Source organism: Homo sapiens, chromosome 12, assembly GCF_000001405.40.
Source record: "Homo sapiens chromosome 12, GRCh38.p14 Primary Assembly".
In the NCBI taxonomy this organism is placed as follows: Eukaryota; Metazoa; Chordata; class Mammalia; order Primates; family Hominidae; genus Homo; species Homo sapiens.
The window spans coordinates 48333725-48357652 of NC_000012.12; the positions used below are offsets into that span (position 1 = coordinate 48333725).

A 23928-nucleotide genomic window follows, 5' to 3' on the forward strand; every position below is an offset into this window, starting at 1 on the left:
CTCGGCACTTTGGGAGGCCAAGGCAGGCGGCTGCTCCTTGCCCTCGGGCCCCGCGGGGCCCGTCCGCTCCTCCAGCCGCTGCCTCCCTGGCGGCGCTCGCCGGCGCGGCGGCAAAGACTGAGACAGCTCCGCTGCCCGCTGAACTCCATCCTCCCGGCGGTCGGGCGGCGGCGGCTGCCAAGTCTTTTTCATTGTTACCAATCTAATAGGTAATATTTCCTCAGAAATTCAGGAGTGGGGCAGAAGATAAACGTGAGCGGGAGAGATGAGGAAATGTTAGAGACTGGAAGGAGCACCTGTGAGCATTATAGCACCAGGTATTGGAGATAAGATAAATCAGAGAGAGGCCCCTGTTCTCAGGAAACAGGGTGGAGAGGTATGGAAGTTGGAGGATGATAGTAATTGAGAAGAGAGGTAAAACCAAAATGCAGTGGCTCACACTTGTAATCCCAGCACTTTGGGAGGCTGAGGCGGGAGGATCGCTTGAGCCCAGGAGTTTGAGACCAGCCTGGGTAACACAAGAAGACCCCATCTCAACAAAGAAAAAAAAAATAGCTGGGTATGGTGGCGTGTGTGCTTGCAGTCCCAGCTACTTGGGAGGCTGAGGTGGGAGGCTCACTTGAGCCTGGGAGGTAGAGGCTGCAATGAGCCGTGATCCTGCCACTGCATTCCAGCCTGGGTGACAGGGAGAGATCTTGGCTCAAAAAAATTAAATAAAAAAACCCCAAATGTTTCTAATTGCTAGTAATGTGCTCATTTGGTGCTAGAGCCTGAAGTAGCTAGAACTACATGTCTACTTTACAAGGCAAGGCAGAAAGCAGACATGCAGTGAGTTTTGGCTAAACCGGTTGGGTCAACTATCTTTGCAGCACCGTAATTAAGTTTATTATGCACGTGAATGCGAGTGGAAGAATGCCTCTGAAAAGAGGCAATGAGAAAATCAAACATTGTCTATTGAACACAATTAGAATAATCAAGTGCCTTGATGATAGCCAGATGTATTACCCCCTTTATAGTCTTAGGATGTTTTTACCTAAAGAAACAGTGAGAGAGGAGGCAATTAGAGGCTGGCTAGGTAGATAGAGAAGGAGGTTCTTGGGAGAGAGACAGCGCCGGTGGGACCGCACCTGTACCCTCCCTATGGTGTAACTAGCAGATGGAAATGTAGTTAAGAATTTCCTCTCATACCAGGATGTCTGCTCAGAAGGGACTGTCCCAACTTAGGCACAGGCACCATAAATCAACTAAATGTCCTGAACATGACCCAGAGCTAATTGTAATATCATTAGCACTGTGGTTTGGGCGCCTCCCCCCCACCATGGGTTTCGCTAAGGTGCTTGGGTAATAACCAAGATGGAATCACTATGGTGCAACACCCCTGGGGGAACTTTACCCCTCCCATTATGACAGAACCCACAGAAGACTTCTTTTGCCACATAAAAAACCCAGAACTCAGCCTCATTTCTGACAACCCACTTTTGAGTCCCCTCTTGCTGCTAAGAGCTTTTCTGTTGCTTAGTAAATTCTACTCTGCCTTACTTACTCTCTGGTGTCTGCTTGCCTTCTTCTTGGTCATGGGACAAGAACTCAGACCTCGCTAAACAAAGGAGTTAAGAAGGCTGCAATACTAGGTGGTCTAGTATTAGCCTTTTTCCTCTAAGGTAGGATGGGAATGATACTGGGAACAATTTGTTTTCTAGATTTCCTAAAAATCATCACACTTATATTTGTTTTATGATGGTTTCTTCATTTCAAACTTTCATTCATTCAGCAAAATGTATCCAATTTATTAAGTGCCCACCATATGCAAGAACAGTAGCAGACATGAGAGACCCAGACCTTGACCTTATATAGCTAACGATGCTCATTTCAGATTATTTTTCATTGATAAGCTTTAGGGTGGCTGTACTCCGATGAAATATAAGAAATGACCATGTCTCATTAGCAAGCCACACAGATTGTGAAGATCATAATGTTGGCTGGGTACTCAGCCAGAGGCATTCCCAAGAACAGCTAATCTCATCCCTAGTATTCATTCCTTAATGACTAAGTGCCTGCAAGATTCTAGGCCCTGTGCTGAGAATACTAAAATGGATAAAACATAATCTCCACCTTTCTGAGCTCACATTTGAGTGAGACATTTGGGTATTTAACTTTAGTCAAAGCAAATTGAATGACCCTGACCTCAATTCTTTGCTTTTCTTTTACCTCAACTGCTTAGTGTAATGCTGATCACATCATTGTTGGATTTGAGTTGTAACGAATGTTCAATGTCCTCTAGAACAAATATTCAATGGTTGTTTGAAAAACACTTAACAGAAACAAAAATGTCCTTTTAAAAACATGAAAAGGTCCAATTTAGAAATGCATGTTTAAACTATACTACACATAAATACCAAAAAAATAGTATTTTTAATCAGATGGGCAAAAATCCAAATGTTCAAGAGCCTACTCTACTGGTAAGGCTGTGGGGAAACAGGCACTCATATACAGTGTTGGTGGGAGTTTATACCATCCCCGTGCCTGCCAGATTTCTAGCTAGTGGGCAGTCATAGTGGCTGTGTTTCTCTTTTCCCTTTTCTCAATTCCCTTACCTCCTTCCCTTTTTGGTGATGGAAAAGACCAGACTCCAAGTGGCTGAGGGGAAGCGAGAGTGAACACAAGAAAATAAGGAAACTTATGAGGCCCAAGGGCAACAAAACAATCTGGCTGGGGTAAGGAAAGCTGCAAGGCATCTGAAGATCATCCCCTAAGCAATAGGCTTGAGGCTTTTTAAGGCAACTCCTGTAGAGGAGGAGCCACGCCTTTGACTTTCACTCAACACAGGCCCTTCCTGTCCAAGAGGGGAGGCTTTGTCACTGAGTTAATGGACAGTGGCTTCCGACCCTACCTCCACACCTGCTTTTCCATGTTTTCTCCTCCAACCATTTCCTACCCTATCCTCTCAATCTCAGGAATATCCAGTTATTGCAAACATGCCTCTAAGGGGTCAAGTCACACTCACTACCGCCACCACTTGGTGGCTCCACTCAACAGATCTTCACTCAACAGTTCAGCACTCAACAGATCTTCAAGAGCAGGGTCAGCCCTTGTAGGGCCTTGAAACTGAGGGCCTCCTTAAACTCGTGCTGGGTGATCTCCCTAGTCCTGGCCCTGCTCAGCAGTCTGCCGCTGAAGTGCTCCCTGGGAGCAGACCACCAGCCCAATCCTCCAGCCTCTCCAGGTTGGATTGAGTGTCTGGCTGACTCAGGAGCATCACATGGGGACCAGGATGCCAGAGGGAGGTGGCGAGGCCCAACCTGTTGCTTCTGGAGGCTTATGTTTCAGGCAGTGAGACGAGTTCGTTCTCAGAAGATTCTGCGACTTATCTTCTCCCGTTCTGTGGTAGTCTTTTTTGTCAGGAGCAAAGAGCAGGAATGGAGGGAAAAGTGAAGAAGACCTAGAGAACAAATAAGTGACACAGCCAATACATCTTTTATTCAACTGACAGGGACCATAAGTCCCCTGTTGGGTAACCCAAGGAAGTTCACAGTTCATCAGAAGGAACCAATTCAGATAATAGCTAGAAATCTGATAGGCACGGAGCAGTTGGGCTGCATGGCAAGTGGGCATTCATCCCCAAAGTTTCCTGGAAGAGGATGCCCAGGTGCCTGGTGGCAAGAGACAAGGCAGGAAAGTGGTGGTGGGGGAGGGCTTGGCTGAAGAACACACTGAGAGCAGGAGCAAGGGTCACATTTGATCTCCCAGGCCTGAAATTGCCAGTGCCTGGCACATAATAAGGACACAAAAAATTGCTTGTAGAATTGAGAGTTTGGGCTGGGCGCGGTGGCTCAGGCCTGTAATCCCAGCACTTTGGGAGGCCAAGGTGGGTGGATCACGAGGTCAAGAGATTGAGACCATCCTGGCTAACACCGTGAAACCCCGTCTCTACTAAAAAAAATACAAAAAAAAAAAAAAAAATAGGCGTGGTGGTGGGCGCTTGTAGTCCCAGCTACTCGGGAGGCTGAGGCAAGAAAATGGCGTAAACCTGGGAGGCGGAGCTTGCAGTGAGCCGAGATCGCGTCACTGCACTCCAGCCTGGGTGACAGAGCAAGACTCCATCTCAAAAAAAAAAAAAGAGAGAGTTTGATTCTCAGGAGTCACAGGAGACTGGAAGGAAGTAAATTAAAAATGGTGAAAAGTGGAAAACAACTTTGGAAGTTACCTGATTGGAAGAAGAACCTCTAGGGAATGGAGTAGAGGGGCCAGATTTGGCAGTACTAGGCAGGGGGTGGAGTAGTGGTGGTGTCCTGTGGGAGTGTGTATGAGAAAGGGGCAGAGTGGTGAGGTGGCTGATGAACTGCTATAGCCAAGCCAAGAATTTGGAGGATGAGAGTGGTAAGTATGAATTGACCCCTGCTTAGTAGGCTTAAAGCTGATAGAAAAGAAACTGGACAGTAGGCAGAGGAATAGGTAGTAAGTGGACTCATGATGGAATAGAATTGGCCAGAAGCTTGAAGAGATAAACTAGAATGGAAGAAGGAATGGGGGTTGGAGAGAACAAATGCCCTTGGAAGGGCATGTTATTGCTCAGTCAGAACAAAGCAAAACTCAAACAAACAAAAAAATCTGAAAAAGAGTATGAACAAATTGTAGAGGAAGAATGCTGCCTGTTGGGAAAAAGGAGGTGGTGGCAGGAAAGAGGGAGACAGCATGAGGCCTGGAGTTGAAGAAAGTCTCAGCCTTGGGGTCTAATCTTTTGACCTTGGAGAAGACCTGTGGGCAGATTTATAACTGTCAGTTCAGTCTGTCCTCATAGGTGCGCCTGGGAGAGGAACTGGAGGAGGTAGCAGGGTCAGAGACTGCAAGGCAGATTCCTCCCCACAGCCTGAATCTGTCAGAATCTTCTAAGCAGCAGAATGCATTTTGGGCACCATGGCTTCATTGGTTACAACCTCTACCTAGTAAGCAGAGTCTGGATTTAAATCTTGCTTGTGTCAAATCTTACTAGAAAAACCTAGTTCTCTCTTATGCCCTGGGGACTCTGATGTTCCTGCTGCCCTTGCCCATAGGGTATGCCAAATCATGGTTAGAAATCCCTTCCATGGCCCCTCGTTGGTCTCTAATCCAATTTTTATGTTGGAAAACTTGGGTTCTTAAGGGCTTGGCATGGTAGGCCTTACTCTACCTTTGTGCTAGATGCCCACTCCACCTGCCTCTTATTAGAAGAGCCAGTGAAAAGGACAAGGCAAAGGAGAATCATTTCCTCGGATGTCAGTTTTTCAGTTTTACATTGGATTTTCCACCTTTGAGTTGTTTATTCCTTTCTGTCCTTTCAGATTTCTGGACCCAAGTATCCTCAGTGCCCATATTGGAAGCCCCAGCCCCAATGAATCACAGGAGCTTGGTAGTTGCCCCACCATAGTTTCTGATATTGGTGACTAGCCCCAGTTCTTTTACTGAGTTAAGAGTGGAAGAAGACCTTGCAACTAAGGGGAATGGAACTGAGGTCTAGCCTAGTGAGGCTACAGAGAATAAACCTGACAACAGGAGTGTGAAGATCCATCCGAAAAGGGTGAGGTACCACTGCTTGAAATATGAATCCCCTAGCCAGTGGTTCTCAAACTTTAGCTTGTATCACACATCCAGGAGGGCATTTAGTTAAAAGACTGAACGTTGAGCTCCTTCCCGAGTTTCTGATTCAGTAGTTCTCCTGGGGCGGGGGCTAAGAATTTGCATTTCAAACAAGTTTCCAGGTGATATTTATGCTGCTGGCCCAAAGACCAAATTTTGAGAGCCACAGTTTGGTATGGCTCACAAGGGAAAAGAGGAAAATTTTGCTAGCTCAGGCTCTCTAAGGATCTAAAGGAATGGATTTCACTTTTCTGATATTGCCCAGCCCCACCCACTCCCATTCAGTGCATGCATCCTAATTCAGAGATGGAAAGAACTGGCCTTCTGGCCTTTGTAGGTCTGAGTCAGGACCTGCCCTTGATGGAAATAGGAAACAGTGATTTGATTGCAGGAATGTTGGAAAGGGAGGAATTTTGTCCCAAATTATCACCTCTTTGGTTCTCTGAAGCCATAACATTACTTTGACAAGGGAAAAGTTTTTCCTTCCACAATTAGAACTAAGGCGTAAAGTGTAAATAGCCTGGTGAAAAGCTAACACTTTCGGTTACAGTCTCCTATGCAAGGGATTCTTTGAAAGATACTATGTTGGGGTGGAAAGGGGAGGATACTCAGAATAGGGTGGAGGTACCAGATGGAAAAATGTGACAGGTTCCTGAAGATGATATCCCTGTTTTACATTTTGCCCAAAGAGAACACAGAGATTCTTTTTATTTAAAGGGGACGGGGTGAAACATGAACATTTGAGGCTGATTCCCTGTGGGAAAAATCATTCAAATCTATTCACTCATCTGATGGCTGTTGCTTGTTTTATTTTTTGTCCAAGAGAGGTGGTGTTGGACCGAGGTAGAGAAGACAGTGGTACACCAGAAATAACCCAAAGGATTGCCCCTTCTGTAGAAGGCCCTTAGACTCCATGATGCCTTTCAGCTGGGTGCTATACTTGCACCTAACTCTGGGGGCTTCACTTTCTATCCCTACAATTACTCAAACAGATAAAAGGCTGGATGTTAACATGTAGTTATAAGGGGCGTGATCTAATAGTAAGGAATATCACTTCCCACAAGTCCTTCAAACAAGATTTGTGAGGAGCTGGATTTGTCAGCATGTCAGATCTTTTTGAAAACCAGAGAGTAGAATGTAAGCAATACCCTTGTCGTAATTAAAGACCAGACTCCATCCTTATACCACTGATGCCTCTGGTACCTTAATCCTTAAAATATTTAGTGACCCTTGCCTTCTAATTCTTGACACAAATATATAATGACCATTTTAGATCGGGGAACTCCCTTTCTTTGAAGGCAGTTTAGGGATTCCACAGATGGGCTTTGAACCTGCTAAATGTGTATGGAAAACTGAGTGAATTACAAATGTCTTTTTCTCAAAAGTGCGTTTCTGGTTTCTGTCAGATTCAACAGGTCTGTACCCAAGACAGGTTCTGAACCATTGCTTATGCAGAGCTTTTAGTATTAAAGAGGGAGAGTAAAAGAAATGTCAGAGTCCAGATTTATCACTGAACCCAATACTTTCTTACTCCCTGGGGCATCTCCTAATACTGATCCTAAAATGCTCCTGTTTCTGAGAAGCTAGGGCAAGACCTGCCTTACAAAGACCAGCCATTTTGCCTTATTCATAGGATCATAAGCAAGAGAACTGCATTCCAGGAAGAATGAAGGAAGAAGGAAGGCTGCTCACAGTAGCAGAAGGGAGGCAGGGGCCAAGCTGTTCAAGTCACATAAACTCTAAGAAGCCCAGTCAGCAAAATAAGTCTATCTTCAATTCTAGTTGAGTCCAGGACTCTGAGGAGCTGTGATTCACCCAGTTTTTCCTGCAAAAGGCACAGTCGCTAAACTAAATTGGTGCAATTCACTTCCTCTTGCCTCTCTGGTTCATTCCACCAATTGTGGTTGAGAAACACATCTTAGGGAAGAAACAGTATCTAAGCATTAAAGAGAAAATATCCCACTTTGCTCCTCTTCCTCCCTAACCCCGAACTGCTCTTACATACAAGATAATTTTTAAATTATAAGATTGGTATTAACACAATTATTGATAAAGAGAAACAATGACCAACTCATTAGCTAACGATGCTAGAATACTTATGCAAGCCCTAGAGTTAAGGGTCTTAGTGTGGACACCTTTCCAGAATTGGAAGGAAAACCAACCAGAAAGCTTATTACCCTGCAGCAGCTGAAAAGCTAAGCCACAGCCATTTTCCCTAAAGTTCTGTTTCTGGGAGAATGAGATCTTCAAGAATAACTCTTGCCCCTTGATGAGGCAGTCAAATTCAAACCAGTGATGGCAACAACTTGCAAACACGTAATTCCTGCCCTAATTTTCCAGCACTTAAAACAAAATCCCCACTCAATACAAAGTTTCTATGTGCCTCTTGCCTGAAATCAACAAGAAACAGCTCACCTCCCCAAAGACTCCTCTTTCTCTGCCAGGGCAAAAGCAATCTGCAGCCCAGAGATTCAAACCTAGACATACACATCCACAATTGTCTTAATCTCAGCAGTACTGGGAAAGCTTTGTACTCAACTTAACCTGTCATTTAACCCTTTCCACTAGTTCTCCCTTAACCAGACTGCTTCCTGTCTTGAAACAAAGAAAAAACCCCATATAATCCCCACTACCCTCATCCCCAGAACACAGCCCCTAGAAAACCTAGCTTGTACAGTTTGCACATAGCATGCTGTCTTCAAAGACCCTGCACACAAATACACAGACACATAAAGACAGTCAAGAGGAGAGAGGGGACTGTTCAAGGGGATAAAGTTTTTTTTGTTTTTCTGTTTTTCTGTGTGGGCCAGGGCTATTTGGGGGTATTAGATCATCTCTTAGCCTTGTAGTGTGATCTCTCAGCTGGATATATGTATGTGCAGGATGAAGGGAGTAGGAATAATGGGTAAAAAGGTTATTTTTTCAGCAGGTGAGGGTGAGAGGTGATGTATATACTGCTGATTGGCATAAGGAAGACAGACCCACACATGAACAAGGTCTGGCCCCCCTGGCTTTCATATGGATAAAAAAGGGGGCTCTGGATGCCTGATCACTATCTCTTGTTTCCTTGTTACTCTCTAACCCAGTGTTCACCAGAGTGTTTCATAGTCACCAGTTCTGTGGGATGTAAATAGAAAGGATACTGAGGTCAAATACATTTAGGAAACACTGCCTTAATAGAACCTTCAGTTGGGTCTACTGCAGAAATTTTCAGAGCCTTTAATATTCTAAAATGGCCTTTCTGTCTATATATAGAGAAAATATAATAGTAACAGTATGCAAGAGTGATACTCAAAATGTTTAACAACTGGTATAGCATAGACTCCAACCAATCAGAATGGATTTCAGCCATAAACTGCCAGTACCACTCTCCTCTTGAGAACAGCTCAGGCTGAATATCAGCCCATGTAGGATGCATTGCTTCCCAAAAGTTTTGCCCAAAGAACTCTATTTTTATGTGCTATCTCACAGAACTGGTGAGAAATGCTCTGGCCATTGCTGGGACCTCATCTTTCTAGGGATGGGGTCAGGGCTTATGATTCTGGCCACTGGGGTTCAGGAGAACGGCAGCCCTGGCAGTGACTCCTGGTAGCACCGGCTGATAGACTTGACCATAGCTGTAGTGGAAACAGATTTCAAAAGACAGATGTTCCTCTGTCCCAGCTGTTCCGGGGACTTTGTCCCTGGTGGGTGAGCAGGTGCCTGTCCAGGTGATGTTTTCGGCCAAAGCTCTTCTCACAGCGAGGGCACTGGAAGGGCTTCTCCCCAGTGTGGGTCAGCCAGTGTCTCACAAGGTGGTGCCTTCGGCCAAAGCTCTTCCCACATTCAGTGCACACGTGACACTTTGGCACTGGTGGGGCACGCTGCCGTTTCCTTGTGCCAGGGCTCTCTCCAACCTCTTGGCCTTTGCAGGATTTGCCTTCTGCATGCACTCTCTGGTGGCTGGCCAGATGGGAGTTGCATCGGAAATTCTTACCACACTCAGAGCACCTGCTGGTCTTGTCATGTAGGTGGGTTTTCTGGTGCCTGATGAGGTGATGTCTTCGCCCAAAGGTCTTCTCACACTTGAGGCAGCTGTAGGGTCTCTCCCCAGTGTGTGTTTGTTGATGCCTGGCAAGGTGGGAACCCCATACAAACTGTTTCCCACACTGGGGGCATGTGTGGGGTCTTAACAGGGAATCCATCTCTGTGCTACACAGCAGGTTTGAGAAACTATCTTCCTGAAGAAAAGGGGGCCCCAGGAGCATTCCTCTGGAGCTGCTGGGCATGGAATCCCAGCTCTCATCATGCTCCGGGTTCCAGAGAACAGTATCTTCAGACACGCTGGATAACATTCTGGGAGGTTCTGCTTCTAGTTCAGGGGTATCCCCCTCATGTTCACTTCCATCTCCTGCGGAGAAGGGGAAATACCAACCCCAAGAGAAGAGTCACAAGAGAGTGCTTGAGGCCTAAGTCACAAATGAGGTTGTCTGATACCTGCCAGGGCCCAGACTTGACCCCAGAAGGGCTGAGAGAACATAGTCTAATGTCGTACAAGACAGTGCAATAGATATAGAGGTTAAAAGCCTAGGCTTAGGAGGCAGATTACCTAAGATGGAATCTCAGCTTTCCCACTTAACTTCCCTAAACCTTCATTTCTTCTGTAAAATTGGAATAATACCTCTCTCTCCGGCAGTTATAAGATAGATAGCACAGAACCTGCACATAGTTTAAGTACTTAGTAAATTGTATATGTTATTGTTATTATTTATTACCATTATTTATTTACTACTGTATATTACTATTAATCAGCATCTTTCTATCTAAGCATAGATGGAGAGAATTACAGAATGTGCCGCAATTGTCACTGGCTGAATGACACCTGTCGGCAGTCCTCAAGGCATTCCTGAAATGGGTGGGAGGTTGACAACAATATCAACAATAACAACAACTAACATTTATTGAGTGCTTATTATGTGCTTGGCACTGTTCTATTCTAATATTCTAATATATTCATATATTTAATTTTCACAATAATTTACAGATGAAGAAACCAAAGGGAGTTTTATTACTTTTCCAAGGTCCCACAACTACAGCCCAGAATTCAAATCCACAAAGTGCCTGCTACATCATTCTATTACACTCCCTTGCTTTTGAAGAAAAAAATCTCTAAACCTTTTGTCTCTGGAACTCTCTGAGGCAGAGGAGGGATTAAACGAACATGGAATGATGATGTCCCGAACTGTGAAGGAAGTGGCTGAAAGCCTATTCTAGGTTCTTACCTGTATATGTGACCCTCAGAATGTCCCTCTCCTCTAAGTCCTGGGGGTCAGGGACCCATTGTTCTTCTCCTCCTTCTAGTTGAGAAAGCATGTCCAGTTTGGGAATTGGAAATCCTGCTCATGGGAAAGGAAAATAGAGCTGTCAATTAGTTCAACAGCAATTCTATATTTCTGAAAAAAAAATACAAAAAACTGTTTCCTATTGTTTGGAACTCTAGACAAAAGAAGGTCAAGAAAGAAACATATCCCCACCCCAACCTCTTCCCCCACCCATTTCTGTTAAGTCCCTCTTCTCTGCCTAGAAAATCACTCTCCTTCCCAATGAACCTGTTTTCTTCCACTCAGATACTTCCAGCCCAGCTGGCCTTTCTGGGCGTAACTTCACTTTAGTCCTACTACGACAGTCCTACTCCCTGCATCCCTATCTTCCTCTACATGGTTCCCAAGTTTACAAGGACCCAGTTCCAGTTCTCTCTGCTTTATGAGAACCTCCTAATTCCCAACCAAGAAGAACCTCAAGTTCTACTCCACAATTAAGCATCATTTGCTTTTTTACTTTTTTTTTTTTAATGATATTTACTCTCATTCTCTTGGGATTGGCCCTAGTGTTCTTTCTCCAGCGGAAGCATAGACAGATTCCCTGCCACATAAAGAGTCCTAGACAGACACTATCCAATAGCCCTGAAGCAGATGGCTCCGTCCTCCCAGAGTCCAATCTTCTAGTGGCTGGAGAAGGTCATGCTTACTCAGAGAGACTACTATCCCACAGTTTTCCTGCATGACATATTCTCCATAAAAGTCTGTCTGAGAGGGGTCCAGGCTCCGCCACTCCTCCTGAGAGAAGCACAGTGACACATCCTTGATGGTTACCAGGCCCTGAAACAAAATGTAGCATCTTCTGTCAGCAGCTGTTTTTTAAGGAAAATGTGATTCAGTATGAAAGGCTAAGTTAGTAGAGGAGAGAGGGTGAGAAATGATCTGAGAAAAGAGCTGCCCAGAAGTCCCTGGGTAGGGCACATAGTTTTGGTAACAGGGAAATGAGGAGAGGAGTAAAGGTAGATGGTCAAGGAGTGAGTGAGTGTAATGTTACTGGAGGAATTTCCCAAGTGGGGCCATGAGAAGCTGGAGGCACCATAAACTCATCACCACCTCTGTTTAGCTACAGGTGTCTACTCAGTCACTTCTCCCTGGCCTTACTCTTTTTATGAAGAAATTATGTACCATTTCCTCCTTCTTCCACTGGACCCTGCCTTTTCTATCAGCACAAAATGCTACAGATAAAACATTCTTTCTTGCCTCCCTTGCCACAGCATTTTTTTTTTTTTGAGACGGAGTCTCACTGTCGCCCAGGCTGGAGTGCAGTAGCACAATCTTGGCTCACCGCAACCTCCACCTCCCAGGTTCAAGCGATTCTCCTGTCTCAGCCTCCCAAGTAGCTGGAATTACAGGCACCCACCACTACACCCAGCTATTTTTTTTGTGGTGTTAGTAGAGACGGGGTTTCACCATGTTGGCCAGGCTGGTCTCGAACTCCTGACCTTGTGATTTGCCCACCTCGGCCTCCCAAAGTGCTGGGATTACAGGCATGAGCCACCGTGCCTGGCCATATCTTTATATTTTTAGGCAGCACAGTATGGTGGTTAGGAGCTCAGAATCTGGAGCCAAGTGACTCAGCTTTGCCACTTTCTTGCAGCATGACCTACACAAGTGCCTTAATCTCTCCCTGCCCCATTTCCTCATCTGTAAAATTGGATAACTGAGTTGTTCTCAGAATTAAATGAGTTAATATACATAAAGCACCCAGAAAATGGCATACATGATAAACACTCTGGGGGTGTACTCTATTAGTACTAACACTATTAGTATTAGCTTTCCACAGCTCTCCTATTGCCTTCTGAATCTAAACCTAATTTCCTTTCTAGCTCTGCCCCTCTTTATAACCTTCTTCCTCTTCTTTTCCATAAATGCTCCCTCATCTACCCAATCCTTCCACTTTAGGTTCTTCTAAGCTTTCTTCAGGTCCTCTTTTCCTAATCTTTCCAGATTTATTTCTTAAAGGAAGGTAATTAATTATTCTTAAAATCCTCCTGTGGATAACAAACACAGCCATCCATTAAAAACCCTAACCTTGGCCAGGCACGGTGGCTCATACCTGTGACCCCAGCACTTTGGGAGGCTGAGGTGGGCAGATCACCTGACGTCAGCAGTTCAAGACCAGCCTGGCCAACGTGGCAAAACCTTGTCTCTACTAAAAACACAAAAATTAGCTAGGTGTGGTGGCGTGTGCCAGTAGTCCCAGCTACTTGGGAGGCTGAAGCACAAGAATCGCTTGAACCCAGAAGGTGGAGGTTGCAGGGAGCCAAGATCATACCACTGCACTCCAACCAGGGCAACACAGTGAGATTCTGTCTCAAAAACAAAAAACAAAACAAAACTCAAAAAAACCCTAACCTCAAGGAATTCCCTTTCTTGTAGGTCCATTTAATTTTCCAAGGGTCTTATGACCCCTTGGAAAGGGATAGAATCTATTCAGTTATAAGATGAACATACCATTGATGATCATGTGAGCCAACTCATCAATGGGCTGATGCGAAAGCAATACAAAGGCAGCAGTGATGGGACCACAGGAGACGCCAAGGGAAGCAGAGCTCACCTGTGATCCAGCCGCAAGAAGTGCAGCTGCCATCTCCCAGTCTCCAGTGTTCCCCTCCTGGGGAATTGCAGGAACCCAGGGAGCAGACTGAGCTGATAAGGAGAGAGAAGAAACATTAGAGAATAACGATCTACCCTTTCTCAATGGGGCCTGGGCCCCATTTTAGAGAGGCTTAAGGGTCACAACTTCTGTATCTATGCCCATTGGTAAAACTCAAATGCATAAATGTAGATGAGAAGGCCATCACTCAAAATGTTCTGAAAGGGTATCAGATGGCTTTTAGTTAGACTAGCTATAGTTTGAATTTACAGTACTTGAATGTAATTTTCATCTAGTAAATTACATCTTACTGAGTGGGTTATCCAACAGTAATCAGGTTGCTGTCACTTCCTTCATCTCCCTCATTCAGTATCACTAATTATGCATTTGCATGTGGAGGGAGTAATTATGAAGAAACAAGAGAAGCCCAGTTGCATGGTTTGCTGAATTCAGGAGCCTATTCTGTACCTGTGACCAGGGCTGAGAAAGAATGGGCTGGTCCTGGTACAGGTTATGCTATTTAGTCCATGGCAATTTGGAGATTTTTAACCCTACTTTTGGAATAAATATTAGGAGACTATGCACTGTGCTTCCCACACACTCTGTGAGTTCTCACCCTTCTCCTGAAGGGACTGTGGCTCCTCTTCAAGGTCACAGCACAGGTGCTCCAGAGGTCCTGGTACTGTTCTCCATGGCCGCTCTTCCTGGCTTCCCCTTTCCACCTGGGGCTCTGCTCCATCCAGCTGTACATTCATTGATTCCCATCCTGTCCCCAGCGCTGCTGTCTGTTCTGAAAGCATTTCTGCTGCAGACCCAAATTGTGACCTGGAACAAATTCATATCAGCAATGCCCATGAAAATGGGAAAGGAGTGATATTTCTAAGGGAGTTATGAAGAACAGGCCCAGGGATAATAGACAAAACTAGATAGGAGGAGCTTGCTGGAAGATGAACTTTAAAAGCTTGATGTGTTCCGATCAACGGAGCCTGCACCAAGCTTCTTGGAGGAACTAAGAAATTGGCAGGTGCTACGTAGCAAAGCCACTAACTGGTATTTTGTGGACCTCATTATAGAAACAGAATATACCTGAAGGTTAGAAGAAGTTCATTTAAAAAAAAAGAACTGTCCTGGAAATTCAAAGGCTATCCATTTAATTTCAAGCACATGAAGTACAGGAAAGTAAGCAATTTGGAAACATACAGGAAGAAATACATATAGACCTGCACTCAACAAGATGGATGTAATCACACAGAAGATTTTCTGCCACAAATCACAGTCTCATCAGTTTAGAATGAAATGATTACTATAGGTAAAAGTCCCAACCAAGGGGCGTATTTGTATCATGAGGCTGGGCCAAAAGGTACCTCACTTGGGACAAGCCTCAATAAAAAGGCACTTGGTCTACCATCCAATGAAAACTGGTAGTAAATATGGTAGAAAAACTGATAACTTGGAAAGCAGGTGTTAAGACTCCAAAGTAATCCTAAGAGGTAAGAGAAATTGTTGGTCTGTGAGGAGCTGAAGTTTAATCAGGAAAAGTAAAAAGGAACAGAAAGAGTTTGAACCAGAGCTGGAAAAGGGGGGAAGAACTGCTGCTAACATGACCCAGAAGAACAAACCTGTTTATTTGTCAGGCACCAGTCAGATCTCATTAGAAAAATATATTCAGTTTGAAAGAAGCGTATGGTGAAGCCAGTGTGTGTTCATCAGAAAACATCAAAGTCAAGAAAGGGATTGGAAATACAGCCACTGGGAAAGTTAAAAATGTCGGATGTAGTTTTCTCTGTCTGGAGAAGAAGGCTGATGAATGATGCTACTAATGAATAAAAACAGAGGTCCCTTCTATCTCTATATAGGTCAAACAGAAAAAAATGGGTCTTGATTGCAAGAGAAGAGATTTAGGTTATTTTTTTTTAATTCTTAATAATCCTGCAGTGTACAATACCAGATAGTGGGCTCTTCTTTTTCTTTAGACAACTTAAGAGCAGGATGGGTCACACTTCTGTTGTGATAGGGCTTTATGGCAGAGAAATAATCTGAGACTCAGAATCTCTTTCTGTTTGGCAACATATTTTGGGTATTCTTATTCAATATCCAAACAGTCAGAGTCAGTGAAAGGCTTCCAAGAGCAGTCAGAAACTTGGTAACTATCCTGGCTTACTTACATCCTTTCAATAACACTTGCAAGAACCTTGAAGGCCAGGGTAGGTAATCACAGATGTCAAGTCGTCTATTTTCTTGCCTATTTGTCTTTGACAAAAGAGGTAGGTGGGAACCCTAAGCCCAATGCACAGGAAAAACAAATTCCCTTTTTATCTCAGAAGTCCAAAGATGGCTCAGGGCCTCATGGGAGCACCCTGGACTGATTCCCAGCCTAGGAGGTTTCCTTTTCAGAGACTTTTCATGAGAAAGGAAAATTCTTGCTAAAGCAATAAAGGGAAACTTCCATTTTAGCTCTCTTCTCTGAATTCCAGCTCTGTATCCACTTTTAACACACAGGGCACTAATTCTCCCTCTTCGTCCCATCTTTCTGGTTCTCTAGCTCCTGTGCAAATCCTCCCTGAAGGCTTTACCTCTAGCTACATATCTGGACACTTGTCTCAAACCCTTTCTCCATCTCCCCCAGGTAGCAGAGTCTCTTAATGGGAAGCCTCTTTGTGCAGAGCCCATTGGGCCAGCTGTAAGTTTTTCTATACCACTGACAGAAATCCGTGGAAGTGCTAGCAAAAATCTCAGCAAAGGATGGGATGGGTACCTGTCCTCAGCTTGCATTTCCTAAGATATTCACGCAGAGCCAGCACCTGGGCGGTTAAGGTGGTAGCCCTAACCTCGTTTCTCCTGGTTCCAGGATGATCCCATGCCCACTGCAGTGTGGGTTCTAGGGCTTTCATTTCCCCCTTTTCTTCACACATATGGGTAGCAAGGGACCTGCAAAAGGAAGTTTCTGCAGCCAGTGCTGATGAACAGAAAAGGGGCCATGTTATAAAAATGAGTAGCCCAAGGGCACACGGACGAGTTGGCTCCGTCCATCAGAGAACCCTGGCCCCTGCCACGGGTAGGGCATGGGCGGGACGGGAGCCTGCTCAGGGGTAAGGTTGCTTCTTCCCTTCTTCTTGTCACAGTGCCCCTGGAAAGGGTCAGATTTCAGAGAATCCGAGCAAGGCAGAACTGGAGCAGGGGAAGTGAGGTCAGAAAACAGGTTTCCCATGAGCTGGGGCATGAGCAAGTGAAGAGAAAGGGAGCCACGGGGTAACCTGTGCGCGAGTGACAGCGGCGGGAGCCCGCAGGGCCTGACAGTTGCGATGGGCACGGGGAGACAGGGCGAGAGGCGGGCACAGAATGTCAGCGGGGCAGACCCCCGGGAAAGGCAGCAACCCGGAAGACGCGCCGATCCTCCTCCCAGCCCCTATGGGTGACCGAGCCCCCACCAGCCGCCCCGGGAAGCCAGGCGTCCCTCCCTCCAGCCGCAGCTCCCTCCGGCCCGGCTCCACTCACCCCCGGTAGGCTTGGCCCGCGGCCCGGTGCCTCCCTCCCGGGCGCCGCCTGCCCCTCCCCTCCGCCCTCCGCTTGCGTCTGGGAGCCGGCGGCCGGCGGAGCCAGCGACAGGCGGAGACGGCGGCCCGGCAGGCGCGGGCGGGGCGGGGCGGGCACAGGAAATCCCCGCCCGCTTCCGGGGCTCTGCGGCGGCGGAGGTGCGGGGAGTGGGAGGGAGAGGAGTGGGAGGGAGAGGAGTGGGAGGGAGGGAGGGAGGGAGGGACGGGAGGGGGCGGGGCTGCGGCTCAGGCGCCCCCAAACGCGAACCCGGGACCTCCGCGCCCGCCGCTGTGGGGAGGGTGCGGCCCGAGACGCTTGGAGGGCGGCGGGCGCCGGAATCGCAGCCTGCTGTGGCCACTTGCCCGCACTCTTGCCTGACTGACCATTTTCCGCTCTGGCTACTGGGCCTCCCACGGAGTTCTGTCCTCAGGGTTCGTCAATTACCTGGAATTGCGTAACCGCCCGTTACAGGCCAGACCGAGGCCGAGAGCGATTTCTCCAGACAACAGTCTGGAATTCCTCAAGGAGCGTACCCTCTAGTTTTCACGATAGGATAAAGGGCTTGAGAGAGCACTGAGGAGGAGTCACTTATTCTGCCTGAGGGGAAGTCAGGTTGCTATCTGAAGTTGGCCTTGCGGCTGCTGTCCCATTTGCGGGAGCCGTAGCCGCAGGTGACACCTGAGCTCTCGAAATGTGGCTGGTCTGAATAGAGATGTGTTCCAAGATTTAGAAGATTTAATTTAAAAAGTGATATTTTGGGTATATTGGGTTAAATATATTAAAATTAATTTCACCTGGTTTTAACTTTTTAAATGTGGCTATAAATATGGCTTGCATTATATTTCTATTGGATAGTGCTACCTTGCAGCATTAAGATGGATTTGACTAGAAAAGATGAGAAGGGCCTACAAACAGTGAGTAAACCCATTGCTGTTAGAATCTGTTTATAACCTACAAGTCACATTCACATTCCTTATTTCATCATTACAACAATTTTCAAAAATTTTATTTAGTAGACTTAAAAAATAATTGACTCACTTAAGGTCATATGTGACAATCATTCGTTTAATGCATATTTATTTTCTACGTGTGCCAGACACTGTAACTAAATGCTGGGAGTTAAAGGATTCACAGTCTGGGGAAGCACATGTCAACAAATATTTGCAATAAAAACGTAGATTCTAAAACAGAGGAACGTACGCTGCACTTGAAGCAAAGAGAAGTGACCACGTATGGGACGGAGGTCAGAGAAGGCCCCCCACTCTGACAGAAATCGTGAGGCAGAGAAGAGTCAGGAGGGCTGTCTAATGAAAGAGGAAAATGCAGTAGACACGCAGTTGGGAAGAGTATAGAGCATATTCTAGGAGCAGATCATGGGATATGTCGGGGTAGTAGTAGAGCCAGAATTTTTATCCCGGGTCCTGGAACTAAGTCCAGGGGTTCTTTTCACTTATGCTACCACTGGTGGTAAATATAAGGTGCGTTAATTGGAGTAGGCTAGCAAAACCAGTATCTCGGGGCTTAACTCCATAAAGGCTTATGTTCATACAAGTCACAGTGTGGTAACAAGTTGGTTGGGGCCAGAGGGTGGGGTCTGTACTTCTTGAATTCATTGAAGGACCAGGCTTCTTGCATTTGGTGGTTCTCCCATGCCGAGGCCTTGGTAATGTAGTCAAATCTGTGGCCCTCAGATAAGGGAGGCTGGCCGTGGTTAACTTGTCAGAGATATTAGGGGCCAGTCCTGGAAGTGGTGTGTATCATTTTCACCCCATTCCCTTAGCCAGAACTCATGCGCATGGTCACATGGCCCTACCCAGAAGGGTGGCTGGGAAGTAAAGAATGTGTGCCTCATGGAAAAGGAAATGGGCGCTGCTGGACACAGCATTGCCTCGTCACACAGAGTTAAATTGAACATAACCAAGTACGTAAACCTGACTTTACCTGAAAAGAATGTTTGGAAAGAACTGATAGATATTATAATAGCCCAAACTCTCCTCGACTGTTTTGGGAAACAAATCAGTGTGAGATTGTTTCCAAAAAATAAAAAAAGCCAGGTGCAGTGTCTCATGCCTGTAATCCCAGCACTTTGGGAGGTAGAGGCGGGCGGATCACAAGGTCAGGAGTTCAAAACCAGCCTGGCCAACATAGTGAAACCCTGTCTCTAGCTGGGCATGGTGGTGCGTGCCTGTAGTCCCAGCTACTTGGGAGGCTGAGGCAGGAGAATCGCTTGAAACCAGGAGGTGGAAGTTGCAGTGAGCAGAGATCGTGCCACTAATACTCCAGCTTGGGCAACAGAATGAGACTTCGTCTCAAAAAAAAAAAAAAAAAAAGAGGCTGAATGGTATCATCTTCTTTATACCAGAACCTTTTCTTTTTAAAAATAACTTTTATAATTTTAAATTTGTGTAGTTACATAATAGGTGAATATCTTTATGGGGTACATGAGATATTTTGATGCAGGTATGCAATGCATGATAATCACATCATGGGAATCAGGTATCCATCCCCTCAAGCATTTATCCTTTGTGTTACAAACAATCCAATTATACCCTTTTAGTTACTTTAAAATGTACAGTTATTATTGACTATAATAACTATTAAATACTAGGTCTATTAAATACTAGGTTGTTCTATTAAATACTAGGTCTTATTCATGCATTCAAACTATTTTTTGTACCCATTAACCATCCTCACTGTCCCCATTCCCCCATTACCCTTCCCAGCCTCTGGTAACCATCCTTCTACTCTCTATCTCCATGGGTTGAATTGTTTTGATTTTTAGATCCTCCAAATAAGTGAGAACATGTGATGTTTGTCTTTCTGTGTCTGGCTTATTTCGCTTAACATAATGACTTCCAGTTCCATCCATGTTGTTGCAAATGACTAAATCTCATTCTTTTTTTATGGCTGAATAGTGCTCCATTGTGTGTAAGTACCATTTGTTCTTTATTCATTCATCTGTTAATGGACACTTAGATTGCTTCCAAATCTTGGCTATGGTGAACAGAGCTGCAACAAACATGGGAATGCAGATATCTCTTTGATAAACTGATTTCCTTTCTTTTAGGTATATACCCAGCAGTGGGATTGCTGGATCATATAGGAGCTCAATTTTTAGTTTTTTTGAGGAACCTCCAAACTGTTCTCCCTAGTAGTTATACTAATTTACATTCCCACTAGCAGTGTATGAGGGTTCCCTTTTCTCTACATCCTTACCAGCATTTGTTATTGCCTGCTTTTTGAATATAAGCCATTTTAACAGGAGTGAGATGATATCTCATTGGAGTTTTGATTTGCATTTCTCTGATGATCAGTAATATTGAGCACCTTCTCATATGTCTGTTTGCCATTTGTATGTATTCTTTTGAGAAATGTCTATTCAAATCTTTTGCCTATTTTTTAACCAGAGTATTAGATTTTTTCCTGTAGAGTTGCTTGAGATCCTTATATATTCTGGTTATTAATCTCTTATCAGATAAGTAGTTTGCAAATATTTTCTCCCATTCTGTGTGTTGTCTCTTCAATTTGTTGATTGCTTCTTTTGCTGTGCAGAAGCTTTTTAACTTGATGTGACCCCGTTTGTCCATTTTTGCTTTGGTCGTCCGTACTTGTACAGAACCTTGTCTTAAACATCACAAGGAATAAATTCAAAATGTCTTTATATTATGCTTTGGTGTGCCATCTCTTTAGTTATCAGTTAACAAACCCTGCAAGGTGTAGATCTGCATGGGTTCAGGGACATTAAGTGAGCCAAGAGGCACAATCAGGAATTGAGCCCTGGTCTGACTTCTCACTGGGTGCACCTTTAACCAGAGTGGTACTTTACCTTTTACAATGGACAAGTACAAACTCCTATGCAATGTTACAGCAGGGATTAATTAACTATGCATTGAGTAGCAGGCAGATGATTCCATCTTTTTCAGACTTTCTGATGGAGGAGTTTCAAGATCAGCTTTGAAGGTGAAATGTAGGAAGGGCATCCCATATAGAATCAGAAGGCAGAAATGGACATGCTGTGGCATGTTGTGGAATGAAGAACACACATATGTGGGGGTGTCAGTCTAGAGTAGAGAAGAAACAGGGAAATTGATAGAATAGTGGATGAAGGTGGTGGATGAAGAATTTTTTATTTGCTATATCAGGTGATAGGGAGTCATTATATTTGTGTTTAAAAGGAAGTGATACACCTGATGGTGCCAATTATATCATTGTAAGGAGACTTGGTGGTCCTGGGCTGCTCTGTTGATGGAATTCTGGTAACTGGGATGAGTTGGGCACACAGGTGGATTCTAATGTGTGGAATACAGAGTTCCTTGGGACATAGCAGCATTCTTCCTGCTGCTGTTGGTCATAAGTAGATACAGGGTATGAACTGTGAGAGTGAGTGGCTGCAGTGGTGAACACAATCATTTAAGGTAAAATAAAGCCAAGGAACTGAGAGACTAGAGTGCTAGCAGGGATAGGGTTCAAAATATTTAACTACTAGTGCTAGCATGGCATGGACCCATCAAAATAGATGTAGCCCATAACGCTGGTGCAGGGTCCTGCAGGCACCTTGTTGTGTTAGATGATTACTTTTTGTTTCTGAATCGTGAAGAGATCTGTTGAATCCTGATGAGGGGCTAGAGCATTGAGGCATGACATTGAAGAGGATTGACAGTGGCTATGAAAATATTTCAGTATTTTAGCAAGGAATACAATTATACTTGCACATATTCATATGCATGAGATGCATTGTCCTCATGGATGTTGAAGTCACTAGGAATAATGAAGGCATTATGGAGAGAGGGATAGTAAGCCAGTTGATGGAGTCTTAAATGAAAGGTGAGTGACCAGGAGTGTGGTAGGTAATAATAACAAGGAGGAGTGTGTGTGGAATAGTTTGATGACATGTGCTTCAATGCAGCTGGACATTATTTAGAGAGGAAGGATGAAAATGGTACTTGAAGCAGCAAGGAGAAAAGAGAGTTCACTATACTGAACAGAGACCACTTGCCCCAACACCGAACCTGAAGTAGAGCCTGGGTATCTGAAAAAAGCTGTCCCATAGAATGAGAGAACCACAGCGAGATGAGAAGGGCATGCGGAGAAGGCTTTGCCTTGGCCCTCAGAGGAGCAGATGCTCAGTATGACAGATGTGATTCTAGAGTAAGAGAAGAAGATTAGGGAAAGTGTCAGTAGCCCCCAGAATGCCTGTGACACAGCTAGAAGAATCTCATTGACAGTGGGATCAATGTAGGACAGAGGGAAGAATGGAGGCAGCTTACACCTGAAATAAGGATGATGTCAGGCCCACAGAAATGTAACTTGTGGGTGAAAAGACTGTCCATCAAGGAAATCAGAAATCCCGCTGCCCAAGCAATTCTCAAAATCACCATACAGAGAGATCTGTTCATGACCATGGTATAGACCACAGGGTGGCGGATGGTAGCATAGTGATCATAGGCCATGGCAGAGAACAGACAGGCTTCCGTTCCCCCAGAGAGAGTGAAAAAGAAACTTGGTGAGGCAGCCCCACATTGAGATGCTTTTCTTCTGAGAGGAAATTTTGTAGCATCCTGGGCACAGTAACTAGGAGTAGCTGAGATCCAGAAAGGACAGATGTCAAAGGAAGAAGTACATGGGTCTTTGAAGGTGAGAATCAGCCCTGATCTCCAGGATCATCACCAGCTTCCCCGTCAAAGTCAGGAGATGAATCACCAGGATTAGCACAAAGAGCATGATCTGGATCTCTGCATCACTGGAAAATCCCACAAGGACAAACTCAGGACTAATATTGACATTTATTATGGTTGCTTAGAGATTCTGTCCCTCAAAAGAAATGAATGGTTCTCTACTTGGCAGGGCATTCATCTGAGTCATTCTCACTGAACAGGAGTTTTCTACTTACAGACGAGTATACCTCCTTACCTATGGCCCAAAATGGGAAACTCGGGATAAGGAAGTGTCATCTTAAGTACAATCTCCTCACTTGCCCTTCTTTCCTACCTTCTAGTACTGTCTCTGCATGATCTTGAAGGCTTTACTCTGTACCTCCATCACTGTTTAGTAAATGTACCAAGTGCATATGAATCAGGTAGGTCCTGGAGTCAAAATGAGACAAACTGCCCCAGTGGCAAAGCCTAGAAAATCTTCTCTGGATAAGGGTTGGGAGGCCTATCGGAAAATGATTCCTTCTCAGAATGGTAAGATCATAGACTCACACTATGTGAGGACATTTACATAATATACTTTAATCCCTTCATTTTACAAATGAAGAGAATGCATTGCCTATGGTCTCATAGCAAAGTGAGGACTAGGTTGGGACTAAAACCAGTCAAGGTTGGAACTAGAACCAGGTGTTTCAGCTAGTCTTGTATGCATCCAAGTGCATCATACTTGGTGATTTTGAATTGTTAGAGCTGAGTCTTGTGTGGTTAGGGGATCATGTGCAACTTTGCTAGTAGGGAGTTCGCTTCTTAAAAATTTTTTTCTTTCAGCTCCCCACACATCTAAATATTTTGTAAGGAGATACTTTGAAAGGGTAAGTCTGGCTCCATGAATGTCCCATCTGTATAGCTGCAAAGTATCCTGATTTAGAAGGGTCCTGAGCTCTGGCCCTGTTTACTTTTTTTTTTTTTTTTTTTAGACAGGGTCTCACCATGTTGCCCAGGCTGGAGTGCAGTGGCACAATCACAGCTCACTGCAGCCTCGACCTCCTGGGCTTGAGCGATCTTGCTGCCTCAGCCTCCTGAGTAACTGGGACTACATGAGTAGCTGGGACTACAGGTATGTACCACCATGCCCAGATACTTTTTTTTAATTTTTTTTTTTTTGTAGAAACAGGGT

At 44.9% G+C, this 23928-nt stretch overlaps 1 protein-coding gene and 1 pseudogene across 11 annotated transcripts, besides 5 other annotated features; both read right to left on the reverse strand.

Annotated features, from left to right (window-relative positions):
• Positions 1-862: 862 nt before the first annotated feature.
• Positions 863-17522, reverse strand: ZNF641 (zinc finger protein 641). Of its 11 annotated transcripts, NM_152320.3 has the most exons (7): positions 17062-17195; positions 16322-16494; positions 14183-14391; positions 13528-13619; positions 11621-11750; positions 10875-10988; positions 3456-10003 (listed from the first exon to the last, which is right to left on the reverse strand). In NM_152320.3, exons 2-7 carry the CDS (start codon positions 16336-16338, stop codon positions 9249-9251), a joined length of 1317 nt encoding a protein of 438 aa, NP_689533.2. In that variant the 5' UTR covers positions 16339-16494; positions 17062-17195; the 3' UTR covers positions 3456-9248. The 11 variants fall into 11 exon arrangements, with proteins under 11 accessions (NP_001352733.1, XP_005268697.1, NP_689533.2 ...); NM_001365804.1 differs by lacking the exons at positions 3456-10003; positions 16322-16494 and adding an exon at positions 863-3439; XM_005268640.6 differs by lacking the exons at positions 3456-10003; positions 17062-17195 and adding an exon at positions 863-3439.
• Positions 16706-16775: an enhancer, noted in NCBI's record as "active region_6283". NCBI's record gives its function as "activates an Ori minimal core promoter by ATAC-STARR-seq in GM12878 lymphoblastoid cells {active_cell/tissue: GM12878}" and the evidence as "EXISTENCE:reporter gene assay evidence [ECO:0000049][PMID:35858748]".
• Positions 16916-17345: a silencer, noted in NCBI's record as "silent region_4406". NCBI's record gives its function as "represses an Ori minimal core promoter by ATAC-STARR-seq in GM12878 lymphoblastoid cells {active_cell/tissue: GM12878}" and the evidence as "EXISTENCE:reporter gene assay evidence [ECO:0000049][PMID:35858748]".
• Positions 16916-17950: a biological region, named in NCBI's record as "H3K27ac hESC enhancer GRCh37_chr12:48744721-48745457".
• Positions 17214-17950: an enhancer, noted in NCBI's record as "H3K27ac hESC enhancer chr12:48744721-48745457 (GRCh37/hg19 assembly coordinates)". NCBI's record gives its function as "activates a minimal SCP1, AML or CMV promoter by ChIP-STARR-seq in naive H9 embryonic stem cells {active_cell/tissue: H9 hESC(naive)}" and the evidence as "EXISTENCE:reporter gene assay evidence [ECO:0000049][PMID:30033119]".
• Positions 17626-17705: a silencer, noted in NCBI's record as "silent region_4407". NCBI's record gives its function as "represses an Ori minimal core promoter by ATAC-STARR-seq in GM12878 lymphoblastoid cells {active_cell/tissue: GM12878}" and the evidence as "EXISTENCE:reporter gene assay evidence [ECO:0000049][PMID:35858748]".
• Positions 21935-22821, reverse strand: OR5BK1P (olfactory receptor family 5 subfamily BK member 1 pseudogene; annotated as a pseudogene).